The sequence below is a fragment of the Homo sapiens genome, chromosome 11, assembly GCF_000001405.40.
Source record: "Homo sapiens chromosome 11, GRCh38.p14 Primary Assembly".
Lineage (NCBI taxonomy): Eukaryota > Metazoa > Chordata > Mammalia > Primates > Hominidae > Homo > Homo sapiens.
The window spans coordinates 17,314,026-17,327,249 of record NC_000011.10 but is presented as its reverse complement, the minus strand read 5'-3'; the positions used below and the strand labels follow the sequence as shown (position 1 = coordinate 17,327,249).

General features: G+C 36.3%; 1 protein-coding gene across 53 annotated transcripts in view; it reads right to left on the bottom strand.

Annotated features, from left to right (window-relative positions):
• Nucleotides 1-13,224, bottom strand: part of NUCB2 (nucleobindin 2) — a 73,242-nt gene that overhangs the window by 22,731 nt on the left and 37,287 nt on the right. For 34 of the 53 annotated variants that reach the window (XM_024448538.2, XM_024448540.2, XM_024448542.2 and 31 more), the window contains one exon: nucleotides 11,775-11,864. The exons of the other annotated variants lie outside the window; for them this stretch is intronic. In XM_024448538.2, the coding sequence (XP_024304306.1) occupies nucleotides 11,775-11,864 (90 nt within the window). The remainder of the gene's footprint in view (nucleotides 1-11,774; nucleotides 11,865-13,224) is intronic. 53 annotated transcript variants of the gene reach the window in all.

The window sequence follows — 13,224 nt, the reverse complement described above, 5'->3', positions numbered from 1 at the left end:
ATCTCACCTAAAAATATAAAAATCAGCCAGATGTGATGGCACACACCTGTAATCCCAGCTGCTCGGGAGCCTAAACCACAAGAATCACTTGAACCTGAGAAGCAGAAGTTGCAGTGAGCCAAGATCACGCCACTGCACTCCAGTCTGGGTAACAGAGCAAGACTCTGTCTCAGGTGGCAGATTTTTCAGTGGAAATCTTATAGGCCAAGAGAGACTGATATGAAATATTTGCAGTACTGACAGGAAAAAAAATTTTTTACCCTGGAATAGTATATTCACTGAAAATATCCTTTAAGCATGAAGGAGAAATAAAGACCTTCTCAGATAAACAAAAACTGAGGGATTGCATCAACACCAGACTTGTCCTATAAGAAATGTGAAAGGTAGTTCTTCAATCTGAAATAAAAGGATGTTAATGAGAACAAAGAAATCATCTGAAGGTACAAAAGTCACTGTTAACAGTAAGCACCCAGAAAAACACAGAATAGTATAACACTGTAATTGTCGTATATAAACTTCTCTTGACTTAAGTAAAAGACCAAACGAGGAACCGATCAAAAATAACTAAAAATAAATAAAATAATAACTACAACTTTTCAAGGCAGGCAATAAAATAAGATATAAAAAGTACAGCCAGGTGCGGTGGCTCATGCCTGTAATCCCAGCACTTTGGGAGGCCGAGGTAGGCAGATCACTTGAGGCTGGGAGTTCGAGACCAGCCTGACCAACATGGAGAAACCCTGTCTCTATTAAAAATACAAAAAATTAGCCGCGTGTGGTGGCACATGCCTGTAATCCCAGCTACTCGGGAGGGGGAGGCAGGAGAATCGCTTGAACCCAGGAGGCAGAGGTTGCGGTGAGCTGAGATTGCACCATTACACTCCAGCCTGGGCAACAAGAGCAAAACTCCATCTCAAAAAAAAAAAAAAAAAAAAAAACGGTAACAATGAGGCCAGGCACAGAGGCTCACGCCTGTAATCCCAGCACTTTGGGAGGCTGAGGCAGGCAGATCACCTTAGGTTGGGAGTTCGAGACCAGCCTGACCAACATGGAGAAATCCTGTCTCTATTATAAATACAAAATTAGCTGGGCATGGTGGTGCATGACTATAATCCCAGCTATTTGGGAGGCTGAGGCATGAGAATCACTTGAACCCAGGAAGTGGAGGTTGTGGTGAGCCGAGATCTTGCCATTGCACTCCAGCCTGAGCAACAAGAGTGAAACACTGTCTCGAAAAAAAAAAAAGAAAAAGTAACAACAAAAAGTTAAAAAGCAGGGGGATGAAGTTAAAGTGTAAAGTATTTATTTTCTTTTTGCATGTTTGTTTATGCAATCAGTGTTGTCATCAATTTAAAATAATGGGTTATAAAATATTATTTGCAGGCCTCATGGTAACCTCAAATCTAAAAACATACAATTGATACACACACAAAAAAAGCAAGAAATTAGAGCATGCCACCAGAGAAAATTAGCTTCACTAAAAGGAAGACAGGAAGGAAGAAAAAGAAGACAGCAAAACATCCAGAAAAATAACAAAATGGCAGGAGTAAGTCCCTACTTATCAATAATAATAACTTTGAAAGTAAATCAACTAAACTTTTCAATCAAGACATAGAGCATCTGAATAGATGAAAAAACAAGACCCAATGATCTGTTGCCTAAAAGAAACACACTTCACCTATAAAGATATACAGACTGAAAATAAAGAGATGGAAAAAGATATTCCCTGCCAATGGAAACCAAAAAAGAGCAGTAGCAGGAGCAGTACTTACATCAGACAAAACAGAGGTCAAGACAAAAACTAAGAAGAGACAAAGAAAATGATAAATGGGTCCATTCAGCAAGAAGATAGAATGACTGTAAACAGATATGCACCCAACACTAGAGCACCCAGATATATTAAGCAAATATTATTAGAGCTAAAGACAAAGACAGGCCTCAATACAATAATAGCTGAAGATTTCAACACCCCACTTTCAGCATTAGACAGATCTCCCAGACAGAAAATCAACAAAGTAACATTGGACATAATCTACACTATAGATCAAATGGATCTAATAGATACTTAACAAGTATTTCATCCAACAGCTATAGAGTACACATTTTTCTCCTTAGCACATGGATCGTTCTCAAAGATAGACAATATAGGCCAGGCACGGTGGCCCAAGCCTGTAATCCTAGCACTTTGGAAGGCTGAAGTGGGTGGATAACTTGAAGTCAGGAGTTCAAGACCAGCCTGGCCAATATGGTAAACCCCATCTCTACTAAAAAGATACAAAAATTAGCCGGGCGTTGTGGCACACATCTGTAATCCCAGCTACTCAGGAGGCTGAGGCAGGAGAATCGCTTGAACCCAGGAGGCGGAGGTTGCAGTGAGCCAAGATCGCGCCACTGCACTCTAGCCAGGGCAACAGAGTGAGGCTCTGTCTCAAAAATAAATAAATAAATAAATAAATAAATAAATAAATAGACAAATAGACAATATGCTAGGTCACAAAACAAGTCTTATAACATTTGGCTGAGCATGGTGGCTCATGCCAGTAATCCCAGCACTTTGGGAAGCCAAGGTGGGCGGATCACTTGAGGTTGGGAGATCAAGACTAGCCTGGCCAACATGGTGAAACCCCATCTCTACTAAAAATACAGAAGTTAGCTGGGCGTGGTGGCATGCACCTGTAATTCCAGCTACTTGGGAGGCTGAGGCACAAGAACTGCTTGGACCTGAGAGGCGAAGGTTGCAGTGAGCTGACATAGTGCCACTGCCCTCTAGCCTGGGCAACAGAACAAGACTTTGTCTCAAAAAAAAAAATTCAAAAAATAGAAATAATAGCAAGCATCTTCTCTGACCACAATGGAATAAAACTACAAATCGATAATAAGAGGAATTTTTGAAACTATACAAACACATGGAAATTAAACAATATGCTCCTGAATAACCAGTGGGTCAATGAAAAAATTAAGAAGGAAATTGAAACATTTCTTGAAACAAATGATAATGGAAATACAACATACCAAAACCTGTGGGATAAAGCAAATGTAGTACTAAGAGGGAAAATTATAGTTATAACTGTCTATATCAAAAAAGAAAAATCTCAAAATAAATAACCTAATAGTGCATCTTAACTGGAAAAGCAAGAGCAAACTGAATCCAAAATTAGTAGAAGATGAAAAAATAAAGATCAGAGCAGAAATAAATGAATATGAAATGATACAAAAGATCAATGAAACAAAAAGTTGGTTTTTTGAAGTTAAACAAAATTGACAAACCTTTAGCCATACTAAGAGACAAAGAGAGAAAACCCAAATAAATGAAATCAGAGATGAAAAAGGAGACATTACAACTGGTACTGCAGAAATTCAATGGATCCTTAATGGCTACTATGAGCAACTATATGCCAATAAATTGGAAAATCTACAAGAAATGGACAAATTCCTAGACACATACAAACTACCAAGATTGAATTCGGAAGAAATCCAAAACCTGAACAGACCAGTAACAAGTAATGAAATCAAGGCCATAAAAAAAAGTCACCCAGCAAAAAAATGCCCAGGACCCAATGGCTTCACTGCTGAATTCTACCAACCCTTTAAAGAAAAACTGATGCCAATCCTACTCAAACTATTCCAAAAACTAAAGGAGGAAGGAATACTTCCAAACTCATTTGACAAGGCTCGTACTACCCTGATACCAAAACCAGACAAAGTCACATCGAAAAAAGAAAATTACAAGCCAATAGCTCTGGTGGATATTAATGCAAAAATACTCAACAAAATAATAGCAAACTGAGTTCAACAATACATTAAAAAGATCATACATCACGGCCAACTGGGATTTATCCCTGTGATGCAAGGATGGGTCAACATACACAAATCAATATGATATATCAACAGAATGAAAAACAAAAACCATATGATCATTTCAACTGATGCTGAAAAAGAATTTGAAAAAATTCAACATCCCTTCATGATGAAAACCCTCAAAAAATGGGTATAGAAGGAACATACCTTGATATAATAAAAGGCATATATGACAGACCCACAGCTAATATCATACCGAATGGGAAAAACTGAAAGTGTTTCCTCTTAGATCTGGAACACAACAAGGATGCTCGCTTTCACCACTGTTATTCAATGTAGTACTGGAAGTCCCAGCTAGATCAATAAGACAAGAGAAAGATATAAAGGGCATCCAAACTGGAATGGAAGAAGTCAAACTATCCTTGTTTGCAGATGATATAATCTTATATTTGGGAAAAACCTAAAGACTCCACACAAAAAAAAAACTATTAGAACCGATAAATTTAGTAAATTTGCAGGATACAAAATCAACATACAAAAATCAGCAGCATTTCTATATGCCAACAATAAGCAATCTGAAAAAGAAATTTAAAAAGTAATCCCATTTATAATAGCCACAAATAAAATTAAATACCTAGGAATTAACCAAAGAAGTTAAGATCTCTATAATGAAAACTATAAAACACAGATGAAAGAAATTGAAGAGGACATCAAAAAATGGAAAGATATTCTATGTTCAAGGATTGAAATAATCTGTGTTGTGAAAATCTCCATACTCCCCAAAGCAGTCTACAAATTCAGTGCAGTCCATATCAAAATACCCAATGACATTTTTCACAGAAATAGATAAAACAATCCTAAAATGTATGTGAAACTACAAAAGACCTAGAATAACCAAAGCAAAAAGAACAAAGCTGAAGGAATCACATCATTTGACTTCAAATTATCCTACAAAACTATAGTCACCAAAACACAATCGTACTGGCATAAAAACAGACATACAGGCCCAATGGAACAGAATAGAGAACCCAGAAACAAATCCACACACCTACTGTAAACTCATTTTTGAAAAAGGTGCCAAGAACATACATTGGGGAAAATACAATCTCTTCAATAAATGGTGCTGGAAAACTGAACATCCATATGCAGAAGAATGAAGCTTGATACCTACATCTTGCCTTATACAAAAATCAAATCAAAATGGATTAAAGACTTAACTCTAAGACCTCAAACTATCAAACTACTACAAGAAAACATTGAGGAAACTCTCCAGAACATTGACCTGGACAAAAAATTCTTGAGTAATATCCGTAAGCACAGACAACCAAAGCAAAAATAGACAAATCAGATCACATCAAGTAAAAAAGCTTCTGCAGAGCAAAGCAAAAAATCAACAAAGTGAAGGGATAACCCACAGAATGAGAGAAAATAATTGCAAACTACGCATCTGACAAGGGATTAATAACTAGAATATATAAGGGGTTCAAACAACTCTATAGGGAATTATCTAATAATCTGACAAAAATGGTCAAAAGATTTGAGTAGACATTTCTCGAAAGAAGACATAAAATGGCAAACAGGCATATGAAAAAGTGCTCAACATCACTGATCATCAGAGAAACACAAAACTACAATGAGATACCATCTCACCCCAGTTAAAATGGCTTTTATCCAAAAGACAGGCAATAACAAATGTTGGCAAGGATGTGAAAAAAAAAGAACCCTCGTACACTGTTGGTAGGCATGTAAATTAATACAACCACTATGGAGAACAGTGTGGAAGTTCCTCAAAAAATTAAAAATAGAGTTAACATATGACCCAGCAATCTTAATGCAATCTTAACCCAAAAGAAAGGAAATTGGTATATCAAAGAGATATCTGTGTTTCCATGTTTGTTGTAGTACTGTTCACAATAGCTAAGATTTGGAAGCAAGCTAAGCATCCATCAACAGATGAATGGATGAAGAAAATGTGGTACTTATACACAATGGAGTATTATTTCAGCCATAAAAAAAGAATGAGATTGTCATTTGCAACACCATGGGTGGAACTGGAGGTCATTATGTTAAGTGAAATAAGCCAGGCACAGAAAGACAAATATCACATGTTCCTACTTATCTGTGGGATCTAAAAATCAAAACAATTGAACTCATGGAGATAAAGAATAGAAGGATGGTTACCAGAGGCTAGGAAAAGTGTGGAGTTGGGGAGTGGTGGGGATAGTTAATGGGTACCAAAAAAAAAAAAATAGAATGAATAAAACCCAGTATTTCATAGTACAACAGGGGGACTATAGTCAATAATAATTTAATTGTACATTTGAAAATAACTAAAAGAGTATAATTGGATTGTTTGTAACACAAAGGATAAACAGTTGAGGGGATGGATACCCAATTTTCCATTATGTGATTATTACACATCACATGCCTCTACCAAAATATCTAAGTACCCCATAAATATATACACATACTATGTATGCACACACAACAAATTTTACTTATTAAAAAAAATAAAGAAAAAACTTGTCTGAATACACCTTCTTTGTACAGATTCAATTTCTGGAAATGTGTTAATGTTTCACATACTCAAGAAAATTAAAATCCACAAGACAGGAAAATCCTAAAGCTTGAATAGAAAAACAGAAGTAAATAAATAGTACTTTTATTTTAAATGAGTAAGATAACCCACAGAACGGGGAGGAAAAAAATGAACTAACCCAAGTAATTTTTGATCATAGTATTTGTACAATATGCCCTCACCTTAAAAATAACAATAAAATCTTTTTTAGTTTTTTGAGACGGAGTCTTGCTCTGTCATCCAGGCTGGAGTGCTGGGGTGCAATCTCGACTCACTGCAACCTCCATCTCCCAGGTTCAAGTGATTCTCCTGCCTCAGCCTCCCGAGCAGCTGGGATTACAGGAGTGCACCACCACTCCCGGCTAATTTTTGTATTTTTAATAGAGACAAGGTTTCACCATGTTGGCCAGGTCTGATATCAGGTGATCCGCCCACCTCGGCCTCCCAAAGTGCTGAGATTACAGGCATGAGCTACTGCACTGGCCCCAACAACAACAAAATCTAAACAAAATTTAAACTCTTATTTTACAGAGGCATGGATTAGTATTCTGAAACTTCTTGTACATTCTAGGATTGAGTGAATAAATGAAATATTTTTAAGGAAAAGGGAGTTAGGTTTTGCATGAAATATGGCAAAAGATAGAATGCTAAGTTGAAATCAAAGTTGTGGCACATATGTTCATTGCAGCACTATTCACAATAGCAAAGACATAGAATCAACCTAAATGCCCAAAGTAAGTGAGTAGATAAAGAAATGTGGTACATATACACCATGGAATACTATGCAGCCATAAAAAAAGAACGAGATCATGTCCCCTGCAGGAGCATGGATGAAGCTGGAGGACAGTATCTCTAGCAAACTAATGCAGAAACAGAAAACCAAATACTGCATGTTCTCACTTATAAGTGGGAGGTAAATGATGAGAACACATGGACACATAGTGAGGAACAACACACACTGGGGCCTATAGGAGGATAGAGGGCAGGAGGAGGAGAAGGATCAGGAAAAATAACTAATGGGTATGAGGGCTTAATACCTGGGTAATAAAATAATCTGTAAAACAAAACCCCATGACACAAGTTTATATATATATAAACTATATAATAAACCTGCACATGTACCCCTGAACTTCAAAAAATTAAAATGAAAAAAAGGAAATCAAGAGTTGTTGGATTGCAACTGGAGATATCAGTGTAAATTCATGAGTTTTAATATATATTGATAGATATGTAGAAATGAATATTAATGTATATAGGTGGGTATATGTGTGTATGTGTGCATGTATGTGTGTACATATGTACATATACACATCCATATTATATACATATTCTTTTAATTCCCCTGCTCTGTCATCTGACAAGACCTTGGAAGCAATGACACTACAGTAGCAAGGGGAACATCCAGGGCCCAGATCTTGGTCTGCAGGGCTTCTCAGAAAAATGGGTCATTCTGGGTTGGGTCAGGGAAAGAATAAGGTAAGCCTTGAACATCCTGATATACTAAAAGTAAGGAAGTCCCCAAAGAATCATTCGGACATGTCAGAAGGACACAAAAGCCAGTCTGAAGAAACTCTCACTGGCCAAGTCTGGGACAATTTGAGTATGGAAATAATGATGGTAAAGATTAGAGCTTATTGAATAAAAGAAGCCATGAGTCTACACTGATATAAGTAGAAGGTCGAGGGGAAGGAATAGTTTTTCATTACAGTAGAAAGCCAACTAACAAATGTAGAAGGGATGATCAGGTTAGAAAATCTCCATTTGTCAACCATCACAGTAATAATTCTAGCTAGAATCATCAATGGACATCAACAATAATACATTCACATATTCTCAAAGTATTTTAAAAAAATTTTTTTTTTCTTTTTAGAGACAGGGTCTCATTACATTGCCCAGACTGGTCTCAAACTCCTGGGCTCAAGTGGTCCTCCTGCCTCCTAAGTAGCTGGGCCTACAGGTAGGCACCACCGTGCCCAGCTCTGATATGTTTAAAGAGTGCACACGTTTTTAATGGTGGAAATATAAATGGCGTAAGTCTTTTGAAAAGCAATTTTGCAAAAGAATTCGGCCTTCTCTCTCCCTCTACTTATATCAGTGTAGACTCGTGGCTTCTTGTTTTATTCAATAAGCTCTAATCCTTATCATCATTATTTCCACGTTCAAATTGTCCCAGATTTGGCCAGTGAGAGTTTCTTCAAACTGGCTTTTGTGTCTTTGTGACATATCTGGATCATTCTTTAGGGACTTCCTTACTTTCAGTATATCAGGATGTTCAAGCCTTAAAAATAGCCTTAAAAATATTCCCTGGGTCCTGGTAATGCTACATTGAGAATCTACCCTATAAAACAACCCTAATCACGTACAAAGCTTTATATAAAAATGTATTTGTAGCAGCATTTTCTTTTTAAAATAGCAGTAAAAAATGAAATAATTTAAATGTCAAACCCTAAAAAAATGTTTATATACCTCCATAGCTTTTAAAATAAGGCTTACAAATATTATGTGAAAATACTTTTGATATGATATTGAATGTATTTTTTTTTTAAAGCTGACTTCTGTCTGGGCACGGTGACTCACATATGTAATCCCAGTACTTTGGGAGGCCAAGGCAGGCAGATTGCTTGAGCTCAGGAGTTTGAGACCATCCTGGTCAACATGACGACATCCTGCCTCTACTAAAAACACAAAAAAAAGATCCAGGCATGGTGGTGCATGCCTGTGGTCTCAGCTACTCAGGAGGCTGAGGTGGGAGAATCACTTGAGCCCAGGCAGGTTGAGGGGGATGGGGGCAGAGGTTGCAGTGAGCCAAGATCACGTCAGTGTACTCCAGCCTGGGTGACAGAGAGAGACTCTGTCTTTATTTTTCCTAAAATTATTAAAAAAAAAAAAAAAAAAAAAAGCTGACTTCTTTCCAGGCACAGTGGCTCACACATTTTGGGAGGCTGAGGCAGGAGGATTCCTTGAGCCCAGGAGTTCGGGACCAGCCTGGGCAATATAGTGAGACCTGGTCTGTATTTATAAAATAAAAAAACAAAAACTGACTTCTGATTCTCTCACTATGGTGGGCTAGACGAGATACTTTTTAAAATGTGAAAGGTAAAATAATAACGTTACATAAAAAAATCTGGTAGACACCACCTTAACAAAATGATCAAAGCTACCATTACCAGTTATGGGGATCGTCAACATGTGCCTTCTAATAGGATACACTGAGCATCTCTTCTGTGGTATTCAAGGGACATTGTACAACATAATAGTCTGTCCTCTTGATTGTTTCAGATGGAAGGAGACTAAAAAGACATTACAACTGAATTCAATGTATCATCTTGGATTTTCTTTTGTTATAAAGGATATTATTGGGAAAATTGACAAAATCTCACTAAGTCTAGAGATTGGAGAAGAGTACCATGTGTGTAGTATTGATAATTTTACTATGATTACATAAGGTAAATCTTTGTTTGCAAGAAATATACACTCAAGTATTTTAGATTAAAGTGGCATGATGTGTAATTTACTCTTAAGCAATTCAAAACTTTATATATATGTACACATATACATGTTTATATATATACATAACATATACATAAGTATATACATTACAACATAATTATATGTTATACATACACACACATAGAGATTAAAAATAGAGAGGAGGGAAAGAGAGAAAGATAAAGCAAATGTAGTTAAACCTGGTTGAAATGTATTCAGGGATTTCCTGTCTATTCCTGCAACTCTTGTAAATCTGAAATTATGTCAAAATTTTAAAAGTATATAATTATCTATTGATCTTCTAGTCTACCAGATGCACTAAAGGGAATGTAGATTCAAATAATCTTAGCATTCTTCTTCTTCACCAAAGTCAAGAAACATTTCAAACGTTAGACAAAAACCCAATACAAAAAGAGGCTGACTTTTCTGATGTCAAACTAAAGGGGCCAACTGTCCCAATTTGCCCAGAAATGTCTGGCTTTAGCAATGAAAAGTTCCACATCCTTGGAAATTCCTCAGTCCTGGGTAAACTAGAGTAGCTGTTCACCCTTTCTTAAACTATTTTCTGGACAATTAAAATTTTAATTTAAATAGTAATATTTTCAGTTTTTATGTAGAAAAAGACTATGTTCTTTCTTCCATCCATTTTGGTTGGTGCCTCTCAACTATTCTTTTCAAGTTGTCTATGCATTCATTTATACACAGTTGACTGTGTTACAAGTTGATATACTTTTCTCGAGCAGTTTGCCAAGATATACTGAGAAATTTAAAAAATTTTTCATAAATCTTAAGAATAGTTCTATTCCTGGGAGTTAATCCCAGGGAAATCATTATAGATTGCCCAAAAATGTGTGAAGAAACAGATAGTCATCATAGTGTCATTACAGTAAAATACTGGAATTTACCCAAAAGGTCTAAATTTGGAGAAATGGATATATAAATTATGCTACAGCCATATAACTGCATATTGGGTAGTCATTTTAAAAATCATGTTTTTGAAGAATGATATTAAAAGATGTTTGTGAAATATTGTTAAATTTTTAAAAAGTATTTCATCAACATACAAAGTCATTTATACAGTATGAAGCCATTTTAAAAAATACATAAATATGACTGGCCTGATGCGGTGGCTTATGCCTGTAATCCCAGTACTTTGGGAGGCTGAGGTGGGTGAATCACGAGGTCAGGAGTTCAAGACCAGCCTGGCCAAGATGGTGAAACCCCATCTCTACTAAAAATACAAAAATTAGCCGGGCGTGGTGGCGGGCACCTGTAATCCCAGCTACTCAGGAGGCTGAGGCAGAGAATTGCTTGAATCTGGGAGGCGGAGGTTGCAGTGAGCCAAGGTCGCGCTACTGCACTCCAGCCTGGGCAACAGAGCAAGACTCTGTCTCAAAAAACAAAAAAACAAAAAACAAACAAACAACAACAAAAAACACATAAATATGAATATATGTATATGTGTGAATTTAAAATGAGACAATACATTGTTTACATACTGTATATGTGCATATACTATATATACAAACTGCATACCATTCCAAATTAACACAGTACGATGCATAACTCAAGAATCTACCTCTGATTAGTAAAATTATAGGTGAATTCTAATTTATTCTTTCAATATATCTATATTTCTAATTTTCAATAACGAATCCTATTTTATACTTTGAAAAAAGTATAATTTTTAAAAGACTTCCAATTTTATGCAGTATGATTATAAACAAGAAATAAATTGCTACAAGCTTTCCAAGAAATGAAGTTCATTATTTTATACTGACATTTATATAAAAATCCCAAGATAGTAAGACTATACATGCAAACATAATGGGGAATAAAAGTTAAAAGTAGAATAGACTGATGTAGAATTTGTTGAACCATACATCTCATTTAGAGTAGGTTCTATTACCTCCCAGCTATCTGGCTCCAAGAATTCTTTTTTTTCTGTGGCTTTCAAAAACTCCTCCAGAGTCACCAATCTGTCTTTGTTAGTATCAACCTGATTAAAACAAAATGTATACATAATATAAAGTAAATCTTTCTCATATTATTTAGACACTATCAACTGTCTTGTAATAGATGCCACTACATAAACATACAGCAATTAGGACTCACTTAACTTCCACAGAAACTGGAGGAAAAAAATAAAAAACAGAGCACTCAACATTATACTAGAATTACAAAATAAACATCTTTCTCTTCTATATAATTCAAATTGGAAAATATGAGATATCTATATACCTAATGCCCACAAAACCATTAAGTTTCAGTCAGCTGATCTGAGTGGTTAGGTGACTGTTACTGTCTTCCTCCTTTACCATAATATGTATAATCCCTCTTGAAGCCAAGTTCTTGGGTAAGAAAAAGAACCATTCCAGAAAGAGGACGGTTTTAGCCAAGAGTAAAGGAGGTTAAATTAAAATGCTCTCAACATTTTTTCTTAAAAAAACACAATTACCAAAATCAAAACTAAAGCTGACAACCTCTCCAAATCCTCTTGTACAGCTGTTACAGGCTGTGGCAAATTTCGTTACAAAGGTGTAATCTATAATGGTCAAAGAAATTCACTTGATAGTTGGGATGTCAGCAGTCAACAGAGACCCCAATTTAGCATTTACCACTCAAAAATTCAGATGAAAGTTACTGAAGCAAAATAGTGGGATTCAGTTACCCTGCATATGATGCCTATATCAGAGTTTTTGGCTTAAAGGGAGGAGAGGCAGAGCAAGAACTGCAGAGAAAGGCAAATATTTAAATGAGCGTAGTCATTGGATGGACCATGGACATTTGAGCACAGACTCGGTGGAAGTAAAACCTTGTGATGATCTAGAAAAGGGGTATTCCAGAAAAAAGAAATATTAAGTCCAAATGCCCTAAAATGGGAACAAGCTTGATGAGAGGTAAACATCAGAAGGCCAGAGGAGAGAGAGTCACAGAGAGCAAGGCAAGGATGAAGTCACGAATCTTTTGGAAATAGGAGGGATTTGGGATCATATTACAAGGGAAATTGCAAGCCACTGAAGTATTTCTGTGCAAGAGAGCACATGACCTGATTTATGCTTTTAAGAGCTTACTCTGCCTACTTATGAAGAAGTGTCTGCAGTGGGGTAAGGAATAGAAGCAGAGATGCCAGTTAGGAGACTTGCTTGGACTTGATTGGTATTAAATAGTAGTGGAAGTGGGGGGAAGTGGTCAAATTCTGGATCTGTTTGAAAGATAGATCAGACAGAACTTATAGAGGAAATGCAGGATGTGAGGAAAGAAGTTAAGGATGACTTAGCCTGAGCAACTAGATGAATTATGATTCATTTGTTGAAATGAAAAAGGCTGAGGAAGGAACAGATCTGGGTTTGAAGAAG